We start from the raw sequence: 24,435 nt of genomic DNA, 5'->3' as shown, positions 1-24,435 counted from the left end.
AACCCTGAGCTAGACACAGGGTGCTGATTGGTGTGTTTACAAACCTTAAGCTAGATACAGAGTGCTGACTGGTGTATTTACAATCCCTTAGCTGGACATAAAGGTTCTCCAAGTCCCTACCAGAGTAGCTAGATACAGTGTCCATTGGTGCGTTCACAAACCCTGAGCTAGACACAGGGTGCTGATTGGTGTGTTTACAAACCTTGAGCTAGAGACAGAGTGCTGATTGGTGTATTTACAATCCCTTAGCTAAACATAAAGATTCTCCAAGTCCCCGCCAGATTCAGAAGCCCAGCTAGCTTCACCCAGTGGATCCCGCACTGGGGCCGCAAGTGGAGCTGCCTGTCAGTCCCGCGCCGTGCGCCCGCGCTCCTCAGCCCTTGGATGGTTGATGGGACTGGGCGCTGTGGAGCAGGGGGCGGTACTCGTCGGGGAGGCTCAGGCCGCGCAGAAGCCCGGGATTGGGGGGCGGCTCAGGCATGGTGGGCCGCAGGTCCCGAGGCCTGCCTCGCGGGGAGGCAGTGAAGGCCCGGCGCGAAGTCGAACACAGCAGCTGCTGGCACAGGTGCTAAGCCCCTCACTGCCCGGGGCCGGCGGGGCCAGCTGGCTGCTCCGAGTGCGGGGCCCGCGGAGCCCACACCCACGCGGAACTCGCGCTGGCCCGCAAGCGCCGCGCCCAGCCCCAGTTCCCGTCCGTGCTTCTCTTTCCACACCTCCCGGCAAGCTGAGGGAGCCGGCTTCGGCCTTGGCCAGCTCAGGAAGGGGCTCCCACAGTGCAGCGGCGGGCTGAAGGGCTGCTCAAGTGCCGCCAAAGTGGGAGCCCATGGAAAAGAAGTGCCCAGAGCGAGTGAAGGCTGCCAGCACGCTGTCACCTCTCACTAGCACTTTAGGAGGCTGAGACGGGCGGATCACCTGAGGTCAGCCTGGCCAACGTTGTGTTGGGAACACAATGTTGAGAACAGCCTGGCCAACATTGTGAAGCCCCGTCTCTACTAAAAATACAAAAATTAGTTGGGCGTGGTGGCAGGCGCCTGTAATCTCAGCTACTGGGGAGACTGGAAAGAGAATCGCTTGAACCGGGGAGGCAGAGGTTGCAGTGAACCGAGATCGTGCCTTTGCACTCCAGCCTGGGAGACAAGAGCGACTTTGTCTCAAAAAAAAAAAAAAAAAAAAAAAATCAGCCACCAAACATGCCCCCACTATCACCAGGGTCTGTTGATGTAATCCTTCTTTGAGGGGAATGCCTGCTGTCCTGCACAGTCTACAGTTCTGGCCCTCAGCAGCCTGTCCTCCGCTTGCTTGAGTACAAGCTAATAATCGGAACCCAAGAGCACACCTCCCTCTAGAGGAGCAAACATTATTGCAAAGCCAATGAACAATTCCTATCGCAAAATTAAAATAGCACAGGGTAAAAAGTTGCCTTATGAGATTATGATTCATAGAAAAGGCATACCTGACCTGTGTGATCATCGACACTTTCAACCCATTTATTTTATTTGTTATTTATTATTTATCTATTTTTTGAGATGGAGTCTGGCTCTGTCACCCAGGCTGGAGTGCAGTGGCACGATCTCGGCTCACTGCAAGCTCCACCTCCTGGGTTCATGCTATTCTCCTCTCTCAGCCTCCCAAGTAGCTGGGACTACAGGCATCCGCCACCACGCCAGGCTAATTTTTTGTATTTCTAGTACAGATGGGGTTTCACCGTGTTAGCCAGGATGGTATCAATCTCTTGACCTCGTGATCCGCCCGCCTCTGCCTCTCAAAGTGCTGGGATTACAGGCATGAGCCACTGCACCTGGCCATTTTATTTTTAATGAACAAGTCCTTTCAGGATTTGTAATTCCAACTTGGCTGTTCCAAATCATTTGTTTTGTTTTTTTTTAATAACAGAATTTTAAAGATGAAATGTTAAGACCATCTAGACCAAGTTGGACTAGATAACCCAATTCCCTCAATTTACAGATGAGCAGTTTCCCCCGAAAGGAAAGAGGCTTGCCCAGTTCCATGGCAGGTTGCCAGTAATAGCCAAGAGAGGGATCTTGGACTAAAGTCGGCAACCCCATTTCCCTTGAGCAAGGTTGACAATATTTACATGCAGAGGCAGCCGGAGACAACATCCCAACATTGCTGTCATATTGGTACTATTTAAGGAAAAATCAGATTGGGCAAGACTGAGTACCCACTAACAATCACACCAGTCCCATGGGACTGGGGCACTATTTCACAACCTGTTGGAGGAAAGGATCATGGCAGTGTCACTGTGGGAATTTGTCAGGCTACCAAGTAGGCCGAGGTCTTGTTTAAACTCAGGGCCATCTCTTGGAATCAATAGCTCTTTAAATTTATCAGCTATAACATTTGGGAAGAGATGATGACGTGTGAACACACGTCTTGATTTCATAAAGCTTCCCATTTTCCTATTTTCTTTTCTTTTTTTTTTTTTTGTTTTTGAGACATTGTCTCGCTCTGTTGCCCAGGCTGGAGTACAAAGGCATGATCTCGGCTCACTGCAACCTCTGCCTCCTGGATTCAAGCGATTCTCCCACCTCAGCCTCCTGAGTAGCTGGGATTACAGGCGCCTGCCACCATGTCCGGCTAATTTTTGTATTTTTGTAGAGACAGGGTTTCACCATGTTGGCGAGGCTGGTCTTGAACTCCTGACCTCAGGTGATCCACCTGCCTTGGCCTCCCAAAGTGCTGGGAGCCACCATGCCCGGCCCCATTTTCTCACATATTGTGATGATTTGGGATTAACTCATTAGGTAATCTTTTTTTGGCTGAGCCCTTTGGATGATAGTCAAATGGTCTCACATGGTCAAGATTAAAATAGCAACATTCCTCGATTATCTTAGTCTAATTTAATCTTAGTCTAATCAGTTCCATTGGCTTGAGTGCCTTCCGCACCAAGGGTCAATGACAAAACAGGCTCTGTTGCAGGGTGTAGCACTTGAGCCCCCAGACCCGACTCCGGCTGCCATTGGAAAACATGGCCGCTGGTCACAGGGAGGGTCTGACTAGAAGGTGCAGATCAACCCACGTCGACTCCTTATTTTCATTTTTATGAACGTGAGGGGTGTGATCCATGGATGGAATAGCCTGATCTTTGTTTAGGAAACACAACATATTATTCAGTTAAGTATTTGTTGGGCATTGACTACGTTTCAGGCACCATGCTAGGAGCAGGGATACAAAACAAAACAAAGACAGAAATCCCTGCCCTTGTGGAGCTTACACTATAGACGGAGGTGGAAGGCGAGGAAAGAGACACGGTATGAATAAGTAAATTCAACATGTGAGTTTAGGTTGTTAGAAGAGCTATAGAAAAATAATGCAAGTGAGCTGACAAGGCATGTGGGGCCTTTGGGAAGCAGGCAGGATGGCAATTTCAAAGAGTGGTTAGAACAGGTCTCACAGAAGTGGTATTGCCTTTTTTTTTTTTTTTTTTTTTTTTTTTTTGAGACAGAGTTTCACTCTGTCGCCCAGGCTGGAGTGCAGTGGTACGATCTTGGCTCACTGCAACCTCTGCCTCCCAGGTTCAAGCGATTCTCCTGCCTCAGCCTCCCGAGTAGCTGGGATTACAGGTGCACACCACCACTCCCGGCTAATTTTTGTATTTTTAGTAGAGACAGGGTTTTGCCATGTTGTCCAGGCTGGTCTTGAAATCCTGACCTCAGCTGATCCACCTTCCTCAGCCTCCCAAAGTGCTGGGATTACAGGCATAAGCCACCGCGCCTGGCTGATATTGTCTTTTAAAACAAGGATCAGGTTGGCAAAATGAATTCTATCTGCATTTGTTCAATATACAAGTTATCTTACTGCACCCACTAATAGAATCTAAATTTCAGAACCAAAAGGGCATTTCATGACACCAAGCTAGGTGAGTACTGGCATTATAATTCTGCCTAGACCTATCTTCTTAGCTCACATGGTTTAACCTGATGCCTAGGCAAAAGAAGTTACTTGAAAGTAGTAAGTAAAATAACAAATACATAGACACTTGTATAATATAGCACTACTACGTGATAAGCCATGTTGAGTGCTCAATATACTTAAACATATTTTTAGAAAACATTTTATTGGCTGGGTGTGGTAGATGTAATCCCAGCACTTTGGGAGGCCGAGGCAGGAGGATTGCTTGAGCCCAGATGGTCGAGGGAGGCTGAGGCAGGAAGATCACTTGAGCCTAGGAGGTCGAGGCTGCAGTGAGCTAAGAAGGTGCCACTGCACTCCAGCCAGGGCAAGAGAGTGAGACGCTCTTAAAAATTGTTTTAAAAAACCTTTTTCTTAGAGAAATTTTTATATACAAAAATAGAACAGTATTATGAATCCCCACATATCCATTACCCAGCTTTAGCAATTATTAACATTCTGCAAATCTTGCTTCATCTACTGCCACTTTTCTTTAGAGACAGGGTGGAGTATTTTAAAGCAATCCCAGACATCCTATTCATTAAGACTTCAGTAGATACTTGAAGGGAACACATTTTTTAAAAATGTAACCACAATGTCACTATCATATGTAATAAGATGAACAATTCCTTACTACCATCTAATACATATTTCATTTTAACTTTCCTTTTTTTAAAAAAACCATCCCAATTTTTTTTACAATTGGTTTGATTTCATCAGGATCCAAATGCAGTACCCAGCATTGGGATATGTGGTCTGAAACCACTTGTGCTTTCTTTTTTTTTTTGAGATGAAGTCTCACTCTGTTGCCCAAACTGGAGTGCAGTGGTGCGATCTCCGCTCACTGCAACCTCCACCTCTCAGGTTTAAGCGATTCTCCTGCCTCAGCCTCCCAAGTAGCTGGGATTACAGGCATGTGCCACCATGCCCAGCTAATTTTTGTATTTTTAGTAGAGACGGGGTTTCACTATGTTGACCAGGCTGGTCTTGAATTCCTGACCTCGTGATCTGCTCGCCTTGGCCTCCCAAAGTGCTGGGATTATAGGCATGAGCCACAGTGCCCTGCCTTCCATTTTTTTTTTTTTTCCTTATGGAGTCTCCCTTATTCCAGATTTGGTTGTGTCCTCATAGGATCATTTATCCTGTTCCTGCGTCCTGTGTTTCCTGTAAACTGCTAGTTACATCTAGTGGCCACATAGTTCAGGTTCAATGTTTTTAGGGGCAGGTGAGGTATTTTACAGATGGTTCTGTGTACTTCCTTTTACATCACAACAGGAGCACCTATGGGGCTGGCTGCTCCGCTTTCAATGACAAAGCAATGGGTTCGGGTACTATCAGCCTGATCCAACCATTGCAAACTTTCCCACCAGCTCTTCTCAGCATCCTTCACAATAATCTATGAGGGAGGTGCTACTATTACTTCCACAATGGTTACAGCATTTGCCTTCTTAATGGTGTCAGGGTCTGAGACCCTGCACCACCTTCTGCAACACCATCAACTGGGACTAAGATCTCTGGAAGGCATAGATGCAAGATAGTACTTCTTTCCTTACAAAACTGGCTTTAATGATTTCATACCAATATTATGGTTTCCCTTGAAACAGTTAAAAGCCTTCATGTCCAAGGCAACACAAACCCAAAGGATATGAAAGTTAAATACTCCAACCAAAATGCAGGGAATGTGACACCCTAATCCCATTTAGGAGACAGAATGTGGAGAGTTCTTGGTTTTGATCCCTGCGCTTGAAATCTTCATGGGAAACTATACTTGAGGAGAATCTGCTCACGCTGCCAATCCTTTTAGCTCTTCCATCAAAAAAGTAAACCTCAGAAATCAAAGTAAAGCTCTGAACAGTCAAGGTCTTTATTTACGATGTGTATAGACCACTAGAAATTAGAGAGTATATCAAGCTTTTGAAAATGAAAAGGATTTTTTAGAGATAGCATTCAGAGCCTGACATTTGAGATGTCCTTAAATTTCATTTTTACCTGCATCTGGAGGAACTTTTATTTAATCTCTTCCTTTTCTGAGCCAAAAGGTTAATGAAATCACAGTCACAAAACAGGATGGGCCCACAGCCAAGAAACAAGCTGCTAGCACAGAATTAAACAGAATACTCATGAAAAGGAAAGATCTCAAACAACTCTTAGTACCAAGCTATAAAGTTTTTCAACATCTTGGGTCTGTCTTCATCAAGTTAGCGATAAAGCTGAAGAAAACTTGATGTTAGCCAAGAACCATGGATTCATACTTGACCAGACCTGGGCAAAGAGCTGCCACCATTCTCATTTCTTCACTAAAAGACCACTTTCAAATGGTGGTGCTGGCTGGGAGTGGTGGCTCACGCCTGTAATCCCAGCACTTTGGGAGATGAGGTGGGCGGATCACCTAAGGTCAGGAGTTCGAGACTGGCCTGGCTAACATGGTGAAACTCTGTCTCTACTAAAAATACAAAAATTAGCCAGGTGTGGTGGCGGGCACCTGTAATCCCAGCTACTTGGGAGGCTGAGGCAGAATCACTTGAACCTGGGAGATGAAGGTTGCAGTGAGGCAAGATCTCACCACTGCGCTCCAGCCTGGGCGACAGAGCGAGACTCCATCTCAAAACAAACAAACAAAAAGAAATGGTGGTACTTTCAGGCTGAGAAACACTCTATTCCTGAACAGGTCTATCAAAGGAAGAATAAGAGTGACAGCAGCATAGGAAACAGCTGTAATTTTGTGCTTCAAAGAAGTTACCCAGATTTCTCATAGTAAACTTTTAGAAACATCTGCATTATTTTGATGGATGAGAAAAACAACAAAACATGAAATCAGATATATCTACAACCACCAAAATAATGTCCCCAGCTTTGGGCCAAGAGACCCAAACTTCACCTTTCCAAGTAGAAAGTAACTGTACAACCAATAATCCATTAACACTAAAACCTGCCAAACAATCAAAACTCAATTGTTATCAAAGTCAGCAAGCAGCCCTGCTAGTTGTTTGCCTAAGATTAGGCTCCTTCTAAGCCTTCTGATGAGGATGATAATTTCAGACAAGGTTGGCAAGAATACGATGAGTGGCTATTAACCAGCCACAGCCTTATGACCCAGAATCCAAACAAGGATACAGCCACATGAGCAAGAGGGGTATCAGAAAAGCTTTTCTCAGGTTAGAATCTTCATTACCAACTCTTGATGTTTTACAAGTCACTTCCTCCCAGCAGCAATGTAAGAGAATGAACTGCCCCACAATCTGGCTATTGCTACATCTGGCCAAGTGGCACTGATTCCAAGCTTGGAAACTGCATGAGATTCAGCAAAAGACAGCACTGAGCAGCTTGACCTCCTAATGCAAACATACCATGTCGGAGAGTAAGATCAAAACAAACACAAGAGTTAGAAGATCCTGAAGATAAACTCCCCAGATGTGTGCAGGATTGATATCTGCTTTTGCTTTTTCTTTTGTTGTGCTAACTGTAGACTATTTTAGAGGGATTATTTTTGTGTTTCATTGAAATTATATTTCATATTTTGAACTTTATAGTCAAAATAAACATAAAGAGCTCAAATGATTTCCCCCTATAACCCACTGTCAAATAAGCAGGGGCAAGCTTCAGTTTAAGTGAAAACTAGGGGTTGATTTATAGAAATTATTTCTAAATGCAATGACTACAAGAGTCACTTCCAACATAAAGTATATCATTAAAAAAATTAAATTGGTAATTTCTTTTAGTATCTGTACTATGTTGTGATGTAAGGTTTTATCTCACCCTCCTACCCTCCCCAAACCTGCTCCCGTCCAGTCTTTCCCATCACAGTAAGTGGCAACTCCAGTCATCTCAGTTGCTGCTCAGGTCAGAAACCCTGAAGTCACCCTTCACTCCACGCAATCTCATCTCTTCCCTTAGAATGTGCAACCACTTCTCTCATGTCTGCCACCATCCTATACCAAGCCATCAGCGTCTCTTGCTTGGGTTTACTTCAATGAACATACCCACTGGTCTCCCACCCTTGCTTCCTGATCAATTCTCCACAGAGGCCAGAGTAATCCTTTTAAAACAGAAGTCAGATCATATCACTCCCCTGCCAAAACCCTCCCACAGCCGTACACTATCTGATTGCATCTACTACTTTCTCCCTTGATGATGATGTCTCAGCCCTGTTTCTGGAAGATGTCACGTACACTCCTGCCTCAGGGCTTTGCAACTGCTGGTTGTTCTGCCTGGCATGTTCTTCCTTCTTGTTATGCAAACAATTCACCTTCTTCAAGTATTTGCTCAAATATCAGCCCTCAGTAAGGCCTTTCCAAGAACCCTATTTTAAACTGCAAACTCTTTCATCTATAGGCGCCCTCTCATCTCTGCATTATTTCTCTCCATAGAATTTATCACCTGCTGATACACTGCTTTTTACTTACTTTGGTTAATGTCTTATCTTCCTATCAAAATGTAAACTACTCAAAGGTAGTAATTTTTGTCTAGTTTGTTTTCTGCTGTATCCCCAGCAACTAAAATACTCAAATTTTTGATGAATGAATGAATATGCCAAATGATTGAATTGTAAAAAACTTTATGAACTGAGAGGTCCTAACTCCAAAAAGAACATTAAAGACGAAGTGTAAGAGCATTACAAATGATCGCCAATACACACAAAGGCAGAGTTGCAGTGAAAATCAACAGCCAGCTGAACTGTGGGTGAAATTCCCTTTATATAAACATGGCCTTATAATCAGATGACCTCAGATGGGTCTCTGGTGTGTACAAAGAAAGCAAAACCAATTTTCCCATGAGTGCCTCTGGACACTCATGTAAGAGTTACAGATGTTGACTACATTTAAACATTTATCATGCTTCCAAAAACATATTTGTAAGAGAAAAAAATATAAAAATAAAAATGTACAAAGTTCTTTATTAAAATAATAGCTTAAATAAATCCTCTGTCAACACCAGACAGAGTCAGTGACTGGATCTAGACTCTAGAGCTTAGAGCTTTTTACATAGTTACATGAAAACATTTGAATCCGTCTTCACAGACAGTGCCACGATGACAATCTGGTTAAAACCAATAAGCCATCTTCCAGATGCAGCTTAAGAGTTCAGGCGAGAAAAGGAACTGAGGAAAATGACTGTACATAATATGGTTCTCATTCTATTTGCCTTTTTTCGTCTTGGCTGTCTTCTCCTTTCTTTTTTTCACATGTTTAGGAATTTTGTTTTTTCTTTTCTCTCTCTGGGCTTCCTTGACCATCTTTTTTCTTTCCTGTAAAAAACAAACAAAAAAGCCAACTTTCATTCATTTGGAGTATGCATTTTTTGTTTTTGTTTTTTGTTTTTTGTTTTTTAGACAGGGTCTTGCTCTGTCGCCCAGGCTGGAGTCAGTGGCGTGACCATGGTTCACTTCAGCCTCCACCTCCTGGGCTCAAGCAATCCTCCCACCTCAGCCTCCTGGGTAGCTGGGACAACAGGTGTGCACCACCACACCTGGCTAGGTTTTTTTGGGGTATTTTTTGGTAGAGATGGGGCTTCGCCAGATTGCACAGGCTGGTCTCGACCTCCTGGGCTCAAGTGATCCACCCACCTTGATCTCCCAAAATGCTGAGATTACAGGCATGAGCCACTGCACCCACCTGGAGTATTATTATGATTATAACTAAATAAAATACACACATAGAAGAATAAAAGTGAGTGTAATGTAAAGAAAAGAAAAGAAAATGATTATGGGTTGGTGGAGGAACTTGGGGTGAAAACTGTCTTTCAGTTTTTTCTTTTTAGAGACAGGGACTCACTCTGTCACCCAGGCAGGAGGGCAGTGGCATGACCATTGTGCACTGCAGCCTCAAGCTCCTGGGCTCAAGCAATCCTCTTGCCTCAACCTCCCCAGTAGCTGAGACTACAGGCATGAGCCACCATAACCGGCCTTGAGCTTCCTCTTTTTTTTTTTTTTTTTGAGACGGAGTCTCTGTCGCCCAGGCTGGCATGCAGTGGCGTGATCTCGGCTCACTGCAAGCTCCGCCTCCTGGGTTCACGCCATTCTCCTGCCTCAGCCTCCCAAGGAGCTGGGACTACAGGCGCCTGCCACCACGCCCGGCTAATTTTTTGTATTTTTAGTAGAGATAGGGTTTCACCATGTTAGCCAGGATGGTCTCGATCTCCTGACCTCGTGATCCACCTGCCTTGGCCTCCCAAAGTGATGGGATTACAGGCGTGAGCCACCGCGCCCAGCTGAGCTTCCTTAATAGAAATGTGAAGACAGCCAAACAGAAATATCCCTAAGAATGTTATTAAATGTTTGCAAATACTTTTCTTTACAAGTTCCATATTCTAACAGAAATAGACATTGGAAAGAGACAAAATATGTGTTTCTAGTAGACATATGAGAAAATATGCTAGCAGCTGAGTATGTCCCTCAGAAGTCTTGGGACCCACATTGTATAAGGTTTAAAGGATTAGACTAAGATGGAATAATAATAGTCACATAGCACTCAGTCAGCAGTGTCTCTATGTCTATGGCTAGGGATTAAAGAAATACAAGAGTCCCTTCTTATCCATGGGGGATATGTTCCAAGACTCCCAGTGGATGCTTAAGACTGTGGATAGTGCCAAACCCTATATATACTATGCTTCTACCTATACATACGTACCTATGATGAGGTTTAATTTATAAATTAGGCACAGTAAGAGATAATAACTAATAACAGAATGGTAACAATATACTATAGTAAAAGTTATTTGAATGTGGTCTCTCTCTCCAAATATCCCACAGTATCATACTCATGTGACAGTAGCTTCTTCATTGGCAGATGCAGCCTCTCTGGTAATTTTTCTATTTTTTAGTCCAAACCTATTCCTGAATCTGTGTAACTATTCCTTACAGTAAATGGCCTGGTGGCACTCATTTCAGGGGAACCCTTGCTGAAACCTTTGAAACCTTCGTATAGGCTCAGTGCTTTCTGGTGCAACATGGTGCCATCAACTGGAAGATGTTTTTGTTTACGTCTTTCACCCACAAATTTCATGCCTTTTCCATCTTAACTAAGCAGTTATCACATGCTATGGTCCTAAGTTTTGCAGTTTGGGGTGAGACAGCAAAACCAGCACAAACATCTTTTTCCTTCTCCACAATGTCACGGATAAAAGATTCTCACCAGCAACTTCAGCATATGATTCTTTTCCTTTTATTTATTTTTTTGAGACAGAATCTCACTCTGTCACCCAGGCTGGCGTGCAGTGGCATGATCAGCTCACTAGAACCTCAAACTTCTGGACTCAAGGGATCCTCTTGCCTTAGCCTCCCAAGTATTTGGGACTACAGGTGCTCATCACCAATGTTTTAATAGAGACGGGGTATCACTCTATTGCCCAGACTGGTCTGGAGTGATCCGCCCTCCTTGGCCTCCCAAAGTGCTAGGATTACAGGCATGAGTTCCTTGTTAAGTCAAGAATGGTCACCTTTCCACTTAAAGGAAGCATTTTATGGCTTCTCTAAAGCATACCTGAAATTCCAACATCACTACTCCTGTAATTTACGGTCATTATTAAGCAAAGTAAGGGTTACTTGCACACAAGCACCACAACATCACAGCAGCTGAACTGATAGCCAAGAAGGCTACTAAGTGACTAACGGGTGGGGAGTGTCGACAGTGTGAAGACGCTGGACCACGTGATGATTCACATTCCAGGCAGGATGGAGGAGGACAGCATGAATTTCATCACACTACTTAGGACGGTGAGCAATTTAAAACTTATAAATTGTTTACTTCTGGAATTTTCCATTTAATATTTGCAAACCAAGGCTGACTGCAGGGAACTGAAACAGTAGAAACTGAAAGCATGGATGGGGGGACTATTATATGGTCTTTCAGATTCCAGAAACATCAAGCTGGGCTATAAATCCCCCTGAAATGGCTCTTCAGTATTTACCCTGGGTCAACTCTAACATCACTTGTACTTCATGTGAAATGTACTGAATTTAGTGCGTGCTCTCTCTAGGCAATGCCCAAGGTGCTCTGATGAGCAGCCCAATCTCAAGATAATGTTACCACCAAAAGTCAAGTTCACACTTAGGTATTAAAACTGTAATTAGAGGTACTTATCAATAATGTTTTCAGCCATCATAATCTAGCTAGATCCTTGAGCAAAGAGAAATAAGAGCGGCTGTGCTCCCACACTAAAGAAAAGGGGAAGGTATTTCATTGCTTACTTTTTTATCAATGTCAGGGTCCGTGGTGTGTTTCTTGGGGCGGGCATGGTCTCCCTGCTCTTCAGAGTCTGTGTCAGAGCACTCAGAGCTTCCAATATCTTCTGAATCAGAACAAGTCCTTTCCTCCACTTGATTTTCTAGGAGTGCAGGGACCTTGAAATTATTAAAGAACCATGTTATTCTAAACAACACACAAACCAAGTTATGTGTTGTTGTTAAATGTGTTAATGCCAGAATTCAGATTTTAGGCTCGCAAATATATGTTAAAAACTAACATCCTGTACTGAAACATCAAAACACCAGAATGAACATCAGGAGGGAAACATGAAAGTAGCCACTCCAAGTAAGGCTCCAGAACATACTCAAATGAAGGAACCAGGGCTTTACTGCGTGACCTAGATCAACAACAGAGCTGTTCTCCTTCTTTCAGCTAATCAGGAGCATTTAGTTGGGATTGGGAAAGAGGCAAAATATACATAGAGGTAGAAAATGAAGATTTATATGGATAACTTCACAGCTGTTTTCCTGTGAACCACATTTCTAGCAATAAACTAATCCAATTGGGAGGGAAAACAATATGTGAAGAAGAGAAATTTTCATTACTTCCTGAAATTCAGCAGTTGTCTAATACAGCGCTTCCTAGCAGTTTTTAAGAGTGAGGTTTCCCTTTTATAAGAAAAAAACAGATCTTTAGAAGTCAATTGTACAACAAGATTTTCTAGCTTGCTGCAATAAAATCTTCATGCTCTGGAATCCAAAGCATAACTTCCTTATGACACCTGTTATTATAACTCAGAAATGCAAAATACCAGAATTCCCCTAATTCAATTCTTTCCACAGAAAAGACATGATTTTAAGAAAGCAAACTGTGATCCTTTATTTAAGTCTTCAATTAGGAAGATTTAAAAAAATAAAGACTGCTTTTATGACTGCCTAAGTTAGAATTACTTAATCCCTGCCCTTCTAAAATGTAAAACAAAACAAGATTGTTTTAAGAAAAAAGAACATCACAGGAATCCAGCACAGCAGGACTTGCTGAACTCATGAGATTGTTCTTTAACAAGTAATACCCTGGTAGGAGACTACATTCCAAAGTTCTCCTAAGCTGGTTGTAAAACCATCAAGAAGCACAATGGCTATCATTAAGAGCTCCACAAATGACGACCAGGATACAAAAAGATAAATACCTCACCTGCAATCACTGAACAATTCAGAGACAGAAAGAAAAATAAATTAATTTCCAAATTTCAGTGCTGTGTTTAGAAAGAACACAAAAATGGCATTTCTGAAGATGTCCACAGACTTTGAAAGCAATTATAACATTTTAACAATATAAAATAACATTTAGTTCTAATAATATTAAATAATAATAAAAAACAGTATGACTAGAGTTTATATCCTTTAAAACTGTTTTCACATAAACAAACAGTAACACATGTTCTTCATACCTTCTGAACTCCTGACAAATCTTTCTTCAATCCTGTAACAGTCTGGTATAGAATCTTATAACCAAAATGAAAAAAAAAAAATAAGGATCAACATAAAACTAGACAATGAAATATGCATATTGCACTATTAAGAACAATGTGGGTTAAATAATGTCTCCTATGATTATAAAAAGGTATCTAAAATTAATCTCACTGTAACACAGGAAGTTTATAATATTGATATTATTTCTGTCTACCAGATCTACTGGCCAAATCCAACCAGCCACCTGGTAGTTGTTTTTTTTTTTTTTTGAGACGGAGTCTTGCTTTGTGGCCTAGGCTGGAGTGCAGTGGCGCGATCTTGGCTCACTGCAACCTCCACCACCTGGGGTTCAGGAGATTCTCCTGCCTCAGCCTCCTGAGTAGCAGGGATTACAGCTGCCACGATGCCCAGCTAATTTTTATATTTTTAGTAGAGACGAGGTTTCACCATGTTGGCCAGGCTGGTCTCGAACTCCTGACTTCAGGTGATCCACCCACCTCGGCCTCCCAAAGTGCTGAGATTACAGGTGTGAGCCTCCGTACTGGGCCTTTTTTTTTTTTGAGACAGAGTTCCGCTCTGTAGCCTAGGCTAAAGTCCAATGGCGCAATCTCAGCTCACCGCAGCCTCCGCCTCCCGGGTTCAAGTGATTCTCGTGCCTCAGCCTCCCCAGTAGCTTGGATTACAGGAGCACGCCACCATGCCTGGCTAATTTTTGTATTTTTAGTAGAGACAGGGTTTCACCATGTTGGCCAGGTTGGTCTCGAACTCCTGACCTCAAGTGATCCGCCCACCTTAGCCTCCCAAAGGGCTGGGATTACAGGTGTGAGCCACTGCGCCCAGCCTACCTGGTAGTTTTTACAGATAAACATTTGCAATCAATTTGAAGATAGCAAACACAAACTTTGAGCCCCAATTAAGTGAAATATTATCTGCCCCACATCAAATAATTCCACTCTTCTTTAGTATACTTGTATTACACAAAAGTGTATTCAACTATTATTAAAGTATTTCTAATTTCACGAATAAAAATTGAGGGTGAATTTTTTTCTCTCTTGTTACATAAGGACCTACGTAATCACCTCAATTTTGTTTCTTGGCTTGCAAAGCCTAAAATATTTACTATCTGACCCTTCACCAAAAAGAAATTGTTCCTGAATGATGTATGTTAAAGAAATATATGTTAATGGACCTAATATAATAACCATTAATAGCCTAGACTTCTATCTGAATCTTGTTTCTACAATTACAGCTTGTTGGATTCATTCAAATGTGTTACCTCCTCTCATAAATTCCAAATAATTCCCTTTGCGTTCAATGTGCACACAAGTTAACACAGATAGAGTTAGTCATTTCACTAGCTCAGAAGCCAATATTCAAGATTAGGGGAACTTAAAAGGCCCAGATAGGTTTGGGACAGTCCCCTACTACTTTTGAAGAGCTGCTTGCTATATACAAACCAAGCTACTTACATTATCTTGTTGGGCATTCATGGCCATGTCCTCTTCCTTCAATTTCATAATTATGTCCATATCCCTCTCATAATTTTTCACTTCATTCAAGGTTCTAGGAATATATGCTCGCTTAAACACCTAACAGAGAGGAAAAGCAAAATCAAAACTGTTATTCATACACTTCTCACATTCACACAGCATACTCCTCCATCAGGTTACAGGGGAATCTATATATTCATTCATCCCTAACACTGATGCTTGGCTAAGCTGTCTGCACACACTGGTATCCCATCTGTGATGTGGTGTCCCAAAAGTAACACTACTAATGATAGAACACTAAATTTTGCATATGATTTATTTTAAGGAAGGGAAAAAAAACATTAGAGCTGATTCAAGATTATCCTTAGAATAACACTTCTCCTTCATTTTTGTTCCAAAAAGCTTTTCTGAGCAGGAGGGAAAGGGGCGGAATTACAGTTGGCAAGCGCTGCCTGGCTATGCCTTACGAAACATACCCAGCTGCTACAGTGAAAAAGGTGGAGAGCTGCCGACAAACACAGGGCACCTCATAGTCAACCATTAAGAGTTGTGAGAATTTTTTTTAAAAGCCTACTATGGCTCCTTCACAAAAAAACACCCTGACTCGTTTTTATCAAAGCATAATATTTAAAATCTATAACATTTCTAGAATCAATATTTAAGTCATTTAAAAACTCACATTTGCAAATTAAAAACAGGCTTTTCCTTCTTGACGCCTATATCCTAACAGGCTCTTTAAAAATTTTCTCCATCTAGGACAATGGGCTAACAGGTTGCTGAGTGGACCAATACAGTGAAATGTAAACTATCCAACTTGGCTCACTTAAATCATTTACTATAATATATCTTAAGGAAATATTACCATCATTTGAAAAAGCTGCTTATCTATTTAAATCAAGTTTATGCTCTAGCAACATAAAAAAAAAAACCCTCAAAACACAAGTGTTTCCAAAGGCTGTGAATAGATAATAAATCCTACCTCTTCATCCACATGATCTTGGCTAGACCGTTCTTCCTTGGTCCTTTGAGATGCTATTTCCATGGCCTTGGAAAGAAAACAAAAATGACTTTCTTTTATATTCAAACTGCAGAAGGCACATCCATGTCCCAGTTTTGGTATAAAATTGTTCCAGTCTTTTTAAGTATCACCTCCTCACACTTAGGAAAGCATTTAGTGAGGTCTAATGGTACAAGTTAGCTTTCCAGCACAGACCTCACCAAAAAGGCTGCCATCAACCCAAAAGTAACAATAAATCAAACTCTTCTAGCCTAGGGGGATCCCTAGCCCCCCTTTTTCAAAAGTTATGCTACTTTTACTAAATTTAAATAATTAGCTTTTGCATTTAGTAAATGCTTTAGCATTTACTAAAGGAATACAGAGACCTAAAGAATGAAAGAACCATTCCTTAAATCCTGAGCAGTCGGCGAAGGGAATTGCAAAGGCTGGCTGTAAATCTTGAATATACGGCTTTATTGCTGCTGCACTGAAGAAAGCTCTCTGAGCAAACAATGACTGAAACGAGGGTGACAAAGATTCCAAAGGGTTCTTTTGGTTTGTAAAACTGAGTGTTCTCTTCTCTATATAGAAGAAAGGAAAAAATAGTGGGAGCAGAGGTTTTTTTTTTTTTTTTTTTTGAGTTTAGACACGAAAATCAGTGCTGACCCAGGCACAGTGGCTCACGCCTCTAATCCCAGCACTTTGGGAGGTGAGGCCAGCAGATCACCTGAGATCAGGAGTTTGTGACCAGCCTGGGCAATATGGGGAAACTCCGTCTCTACTAAAAATACAAAAATTAGGCCAGGTGCAGTCTAATTACAGGCTCATGCCTGTAATCCCAGCACTTTGGGAGGCTGAGGCTCACGCCTGTAATCCCAGCACTTTGGGAGGCTGAGGCTCACGTCTGTAATCCCAGCACTTTGGGAGGCTGAGGCGGCTGGATCATGAGATCAGGAGTTCCAGACCAGCCTAGTCAACATGGTGAAAACCCGTCTCTACTAAAAACACAAAAATTAGCCAGGCATGCTAACATGCACCTGAAATCTCAGTTACTTGGAGGCTGAGGCAGGAGAATCACTTGAACCCGGGAGGCAGAGGTTGTGGTGAGCCGAGATCGTGCCACTGTACTCCAGCATGGGTGAGAGAGCCAGACTCCATCTCAAACACACACACACACACACACACACACACACACACACACACACACACACACACACACAATTAGTCGGGAGTGGTGGTGGGCTCCTGTAATCCCAGCTACTGGGTGCCTGTAATCCCAGCTACTGGGGAGGCTGAGGCAGAAGAACTGCTTTAACCTGGGAGGCGGAGATTGCAGTGAGCCGAAATTGCACACTGCACTCCAGCCTGGGTGACAAGAGCGAAACTCCGTCAAAAAAATAAATAAATAAAAGAGGCCGGGTGCGGTGGCTCACACCTATGATCCCAGCACTTTGGGAGGCCGAGGCGGATGGATCACCTGAGGTCAGGAGTTCAAGGCCAGCCTGACCAACATGGAGAAACCCCATCTCTACTAAAAATACAAAATTAGCTGGGCATGGGGGCGCATGCCTGTAATCCCAGCTACTCGGGAGGCTGAGGCAGGAGAATCGCTTGAACCCAGGAAGCAAAGGTTGCAGTGAGCCGAGATTGCCCCACTGCACTCCAGCCTGGGCAACAAGAGGGAAACTCCATTTAAAAAAAAAAAAAAGAAAAAGAAAAAGAAAGTCAGTGCTAAGTTAAAAAGTTGAGGAATAAAAATGACACACTTATTTATTCCATTAACAGATGTGATTGCCTACTATGGGCCAGATATTGGGTACTTGGCAATAGAGAAAACTCCTGTTCCATAAAAGTTCATAATTGAGGGTGACAGAATTAGGGACTTAGTATAATAAGTGACACAGTGTGACTACTTCTATTATAGTTGTAGGAGACTACACCTATGAAAACAATTTCTGCTGAAATACCCCTCCAGAGAGCTTTCTAACTGGAGCTTTAAAGTTCACCAGGCGGAGCAAAGTTGAGCAAAGGCAGAAATGGGAAGGTATTGCAAGGAAATGGAAAAAGAGGAAAGGACAGGATAAAACCTGAAGACCTGGCCAGGCAAGGCGACTTATGCCTGTAATCCCAGCACTTTGGGAGGCCGAGGCAGGCGGATCTCCTGAGGTCAGGAGTTCGAGACTTGCCATGGCCAACATGGTGAAACCTTATCTCTACAAAAATACAAAAATTAGCTGGGCATGATGGCAGGTGCCCATAATCCCAGCTATTCAGGAGGCTGAGGTGGGAGAATCACTTGAATCCAGGAGGTGGAGGTTACAGTGAGCTGAGATTGTGCCATTGCACTCCAGCCTGGGCAACAGAACGAGACTCCATCTCAAAAACAAACAAACCTGAAAACCTGTGTAGAGGCATACATGCCATGTGTTCAAAACTCTATGATTCAGAGACAAAAATAAAAATAGATAAACTGGATCACATCAAAATTTAAAACTTCTGTGCATCAAAGCTTGCAATCAACAGAGTGAAAAGACAAGTCACAGAATGGGAATAAACATTTGCAAATCACGTATCTGACATATCCAGAAAATACAAACAACTCAACAAAAAAAACCAAACCTGATTAAAAAAAAGACATGGGGCTGGACACTGTGGCTCATGCCTGCAACCCCAGAACTTTGAGAGGCCGAGACAGAAGGAGTGCTTAAGCCCAGGAGTCTAAGACCAGACTGGAAAACACAGTGAGACCCTGTCCCAACAAAATGAAAAAGAAAAAAAAAATTGGCTGGGTGTCATGGTCTGCACCTATAGTCTCAGCAGGCTGAAGCAGCTGAGGCAGGAGAACTGCTTGAGTCTAGAAGGTTGAGACTGTAGTGAGACAGGATTGTACCACTGTACTTCAGACTGGGTAACAGAGAGACCCTGTCTCTTAAAAAAAAAAAAAAAGACATTTCTCCAAAGAAAATATATAAATGGGCAAGAAGCACATGAAAAGATGCTCAACGTCACTAGTAATCAGGGAAACACAAACCAAAACCATAATAACATACACCTCACACTCATTAGGGGGTCTCTCATTGTCAAAACAAAACAAAAAACAAAATAATAGGTGTTGGTGAGGGTATGGAGATTAGTAAGTGCTGGTGAGGATGTGGAGCGATTAAAACCCTTGTGCATTGTTGGTGGTAATGTAAAATGGTGCAGCCACTACAGTAAACAGTATGGTGGGTTCCTCAGAAACTTGAAAATAGAAATATCATTTGATCCAGCAATTCTACTTCTGGGTGTATATTCGAAAGAACTGAAAGCAGCATCTTGAAGAGATATTTATACATCCATGTTCATAGCAGCATTATTCAGAATAGCCAGAAGGTATAAGCAACCCGTATGTCCATCCACAGATGAATGGATAAACAAAATATAGTATATACATACACTGGACCATTATTCAGCCTTAAAAGAAGAAATCCTAGGCCAGGCGTGGTGACTCATGTCTGCAATCCCAGCACTTCGGGAGGCCGATGCAGGCGGGTCACTTAAGGCCAGGAGTTGGAGACCAGCCTGGCCAACATGGTGAAACCCTGTCTCTACCAAAAAATACCCAAATTAGCCGGGTGTAGTGGCTCGCACCTGTAGTCCCAGCTACTCAGGGAGGCCAGGGTGGTAGAATTGCTTGAACCCGAAGGCAGAGGTTGCAGTGAGCCAAGATCACGCCACTGCACTCTAGCCTGGTGACAGAGTGAGACCCTGTCTCAAACAAAAAAAGAAAAAGATATCCTGTCACATGCTATAACATGGATGAATCTTGAAGACATCATACTAAGTGAAATAAGCCAGACACAAAAAGACAAATACTATATGATTCCACTTATAAGAGGTACCTAGAGTAGGTGAATTCACAAAGACAGAAAGTAGAATGGTGATTGCCAGGGGATGGGAAGTTGTTACTTAATGGGTACAGAATATCAGTTTGGGATGATGTAACAGGTGTGGAGATAGACAGTGGTGATAGTTTGTACCACAATGTGAATGTACTTAATGCCACTGAACCATACATTCAAATGGTTAAAGCATTAAATTTTATATTATGTCTTTTACCAGAATTCTAAAAAATTCTATATTCAGAAAGGCCTCTGAGGCCGGGCGTCGTGGCTCACACCTGTAATCCCAGCACTTTGGGAGGCTGAGGCAGGTGGGTCACCTGAGGCCAAGATTTCAAGACTAGCCTGGGCAACATGATGAAACCCTGTCTCTACAAAAAATATAAAAATTAGCTAGGTGTGGTGGCGTGTGCCTGTAGTCCTAGCTACTCGGAGACTGAGCTGGGAGGATCACTTGACCCTGAGGGGCAGAGGTTGCAGTGAACCAAGAGTGCGCCACTATGTTCCAGCCTGCGTGACAGAGTGGGATCCTGTCTCAAAAAAGAAAAAAAAAGAAAGAAAGAAAAGAAAAAAGAAAAAGAAAGAAAAGAAAAAAAGAGAAAGGCCCCTGAGAAACAAGGGAAAAGAATTAATGACCAAAAAACTGACAGTTTTCTTGCTAAACTTTCACAAACTTTGACAGTCTATGTAATCTTGCCAGATAATTGAAGTAAAAAGCTTGGATATCAAGTTGACTCAGGAGAAGAAAAAAAAAAAAAAAAGGAAAAAAAAAAAACCCCTGGCTTTACCATTGGCTGTTGTGCTGTATTTTTGATTCTTCATCTGTTAAGTAGGAAGGAAAAGGTCTCAGGAAGCTGTCAAAATGAATAAACTACACTATGCAATCTGGGTCCCTCAGAAGTGTCAAGCAAATGCAATTACTGGTTAGCATCCCAAATCTAAAAATCAAAAATCTGAAATACTCCAAAATCCGAAACTTTTTGAGCACCAACATTATGCTCAAATGAAATGTGAAATGGAGCAGTGAGGATTTTGGATTTTGATATTTCGGATGCTCAACTAGGGTAAGTACAAGGCAGATATTTCAAAACTGGAAAAAATCCAAAATCCAAAACACTTCTGGTCCCAAGCACTTGAGATAAGAGATACTGCACCTGTACTGCTATTTCCTATTCCTCCTTCCTCTCCCCATCTTACCTTTGAGAGATAAGCATCCATGTTCTCATGTGTAATGGATGGATCTGTGACAAATTCAAAGAGCTCCCGCACAGTCATGACAGCAACACTGTGCCTCATAAAGAAATCTGTCAGAAGGAAAAACGTTAATGACAGCTTTTATGAGGAAAAATATTATTATTCCAACTACCTTATAGAGAAACAAGGAGATAAAATTACATACCATCTCCCAGCAAATGGTTTAAGCATCACTGCACCAAACAATTTAGTGAGAAAATTTTACGCCAACAGCTTAACTGAGTACAAAACCAAAACAGACCAATGAGCTGTTTCGAAAATTGCCGTTTCTACTCACCATTGACGTTGGCGCAATCCTTTCTCAAGAACTCCAAGGCATGTGGGTGGTCGTGCTCCACGGACTGAGACACGTCAATGATATACACGCCTCCACCGTGGTACCTATGGGCCAGAGACACAGAAGCTGTGGGATGGTATTACTTTACTATGTTTTTCGTTTAAAATAAATTCTACTCTTAAAAGCAAGGGAAGTAGCTCACAAAATCACCAAGGTAGATAAGATGAGGCAATCTTGACTAACAGATGGAACTGGGAAAATTTCCAAAATCCATTCACTGTTAATGATCCAAGCAGTCAATTCGGTGACTAAGGTCACTGAAAAAAGGAATCCTATCTTATACCATTTGGAAGTCAACAATAAAACTTCAGAAGTTAGTGTGACTTCTTGGATTGGGATTTTGTTTATCATTTTAAAGGACACGAAACAACTGACAGGCAGTTCTTAAGAGACAAAATACACTCACAGCATGTTAAATTCACTGAGATCTGCATGGACAAGTCTGGCATCCTGATACATTCTTCTCATGTACTGAATGACCTGCAGGTACAACTCCCGAGCCTTGGATTCTGATAACTGGACATTTTTCAAGAGTGGTGCAGGCCTTGAATGAAAAGAACTAAGATAAAATGACCAAGAACAAGTTTTCTTGCTTCTTACTATACTGTTACATGCCCTTCTCTTCTACAACTCATCATGTGAGCTGTATGTGGGACAATCTGTCTCAATGCACATAAACCAAGAAGGTACCGGCAAATAGATGCTTTCCCAACACACTGTATAAGACCACCCTCCAACACAGGACTAACTTGCTCCTCATTCTGAAGCATTTTCAGACTTGAAAAGGTAGAATACATTGATAACACTTATTCACTAATATAGTGGGAAAGATTAATAAGTTATTCAAATGGGAAATATTCATATAGTGGATAAACTCAAAGAACTTAAAAATACAGTTCTGAGAATGCAATTATTAGCCCTTCCATGTACTTACATGTCATCTTTACCGATGAAACTCATGACAAGAACATGACTTCTTAGCATTATTGGTTCTGGACATGGTATCTCTGCTGTGTTTAGCCTGTGATATTATAACAAATAAAAGGACAACTGAAAAGTTGAAAAGGCATCTAAATAAATTACAACTGCAGGTCCCAAGATTAATATTGCTGTTAAGAAATAGCACCAAGGCCTCTCAAATGTATTATAATATTTCATAAACTCTAAGATTATTTTAAGTGGCACCATTATGTACCACCGAGAATGATAAAACACTAGCAATTCAACTATTACATCCCATAACCTGTAATACCCAAAGCAATTCCAGAGATGTTAAACTGAAAAAAATGTGCATCTTACAATGGAGGAAATAGAGGAGATAGGTCCACAAGTATCTTTTGTGTTGAATAGCCTGAAAAATGCTTAATAAAAATAGTTGGACTCACACCTAATAGCTTGTTGAACACAAAAGACTTTCAAAACGAGTAGTACTTGCTCAATACTACACTATCCAATGTGTCACCTGTGTACACCATATAAAAAGTTATAAGACATTTTTTAAAACTCCATAATTTTCAGGAAACTTGATCTCAACTAGATGAGGCCTTTACCTGATAAAAAGGTGTTAGTGCAAACAAAGAATATAAAAAAAGTGTCCAAAACTGGACTAAGAAAAGGAAACTATGATAAACAAAGAGTTCACGACCTAACAAGATTAGTCGAAAACTCCAATACCTACGAAAACATGACAGAGCATTATAACCATCTGATTGTGTCACTTTCCTGATTAAAATCCTTTAGCAGTTCCTTATTATCCTCAGTATAAATTCTAAACATTTTCAATGGCTTACAAGGCCTTCCAAATGATCTAGCTTCGTGGAATAAATATGAATTGTGGCAGTATTCTTTTGAAATGGATTCTCAGAATAGAAAACAACAGAATAGGAAACAATCTCTATTTGTCCAGACATGTGTTTCTTCTGCTTACTTCAGCAGACCTAATAGAAATAAAGGCCCTAACAAGTCCCTACATTTGGGCAGAACCACACTGGGATCTGCTGGGAGGAAGGGCTGATGTTCATGTACAGGGCATAGGACAGACATACACACATCCCAGACAGTCACCTGATTAAGTTCCTCATTTCTTTTTCTGCCCAAGTTTTCACCATTTTCCTAGGGTTTCCTTTACAATAGCCATGACGAAATCTTGAATAAGAAAAATGTTTATTATTTCAATCATTCCATTATTATTTTAATGTTTTAGGAAATAGAAATTAAACCAACTGGAGGGAAAAATCTGAACTTACCTGAATTCTCCACTTACATATTTATCCCGATCTTTGAACACCAAAATAGAAGTTTTATAAATTTTGATTGCTCTGCTCTCTCCATTTGCTGTGCTAGCATGGTATACATTAGCCTATATTAAGTCAAAAAAAAAAGAAAATGAAGTTTATGTTAAATAACCACTTTTTCAATCTATTTGATTCTAACCTCAAAAGTCAAGTGAACTGAAATAACATGCATAAGGAATACCACTGTCTTTTGAATATGTGAATTAAAATGTAAAACATTACATCAAAAGGACAGTAAACATAGCTCCAATATACAAATACAGTCACGTGCCACATAACGTTTTAGTTACTGACAGGTGACAGACCGCATATATGAGGTGATTCCGTAAGACTATAACAGGTATTTTTACTGTACTTTTTCTATGTTTAGATAGATAAATATTTACCATTGTCTTACAATTGTTACAGTATTCAGTACAGAAACCTGTTGTACAGATTCGGAACTACCGTATAGCCTGAGAGTGCAGTAGGCTATACTATCTAGGTTTGTATGAGTATGCTCTATAATGTTCTTCGCATAATGACAAATTTGCCTAATGATGCATTTCTCAGAAAGTATTCCCTTCATTAAGCAATGCAAGACTGTACAGTAAAATCCAATTTAAATATAGGGGA

The 24,435-nt window shown here is 41.6% G+C and overlaps 1 protein-coding gene across 3 annotated transcripts in view, besides 2 other annotated features; it reads right to left on the bottom strand.

The window, feature by feature from the left end:
* Positions 405-906: an enhancer, noted in NCBI's record as "H3K4me1 hESC enhancer chr6:7425815-7426316 (GRCh37/hg19 assembly coordinates)". NCBI's record gives its function as "activates a minimal SCP1, AML or CMV promoter by ChIP-STARR-seq in primed H9 embryonic stem cells {active_cell/tissue: H9 hESC(primed)}" and the evidence as "EXISTENCE:reporter gene assay evidence [ECO:0000049][PMID:30033119]".
* Positions 8,451-24,435, bottom strand: part of RIOK1 (RIO kinase 1) — a 28,230-nt gene continuing 12,245 nt past the window's right edge. For all 3 annotated transcript variants that reach the window (NM_001348194.2, NM_031480.3, XM_011514933.4), the window contains exons 7-17: positions 23,773-23,885; positions 23,591-23,671; positions 22,461-22,547; positions 21,933-22,070; positions 21,467-21,570; positions 21,133-21,239; positions 16,037-16,102; positions 15,037-15,156; positions 13,546-13,599; positions 12,098-12,250; positions 8,451-9,157 (exon numbers count right to left, since the gene is read on the bottom strand). In NM_001348194.2, the coding sequence (NP_001335123.1) occupies positions 9,047-9,157; positions 12,098-12,250; positions 13,546-13,599; positions 15,037-15,156; positions 16,037-16,102; positions 21,133-21,239; positions 21,467-21,570; positions 21,933-22,070; positions 22,461-22,547; positions 23,591-23,671; positions 23,773-23,885 (1,134 nt within the window). In that variant the 3' untranslated portion in view covers positions 8,451-9,046. The remainder of the gene's footprint in view (positions 9,158-12,097; positions 12,251-13,545; positions 13,600-15,036; positions 15,157-16,036; positions 16,103-21,132; positions 21,240-21,466; positions 21,571-21,932; positions 22,071-22,460; positions 22,548-23,590; positions 23,672-23,772; positions 23,886-24,435) is intronic.
* Positions 12,825-13,595: an enhancer, noted in NCBI's record as "NANOG hESC enhancer chr6:7413126-7413896 (GRCh37/hg19 assembly coordinates)". NCBI's record gives its function as "activates a minimal SCP1, AML or CMV promoter by ChIP-STARR-seq in naive H9 embryonic stem cells {active_cell/tissue: H9 hESC(naive)}" and the evidence as "EXISTENCE:reporter gene assay evidence [ECO:0000049][PMID:30033119]".

The sequence above is a fragment of the Homo sapiens genome, chromosome 6, assembly GCF_000001405.40.
Source record: "Homo sapiens chromosome 6, GRCh38.p14 Primary Assembly".
Lineage (NCBI taxonomy): Eukaryota > Metazoa > Chordata > Mammalia > Primates > Hominidae > Homo > Homo sapiens.
This window is presented reverse-complemented; position numbering and strand designations above follow the sequence as displayed.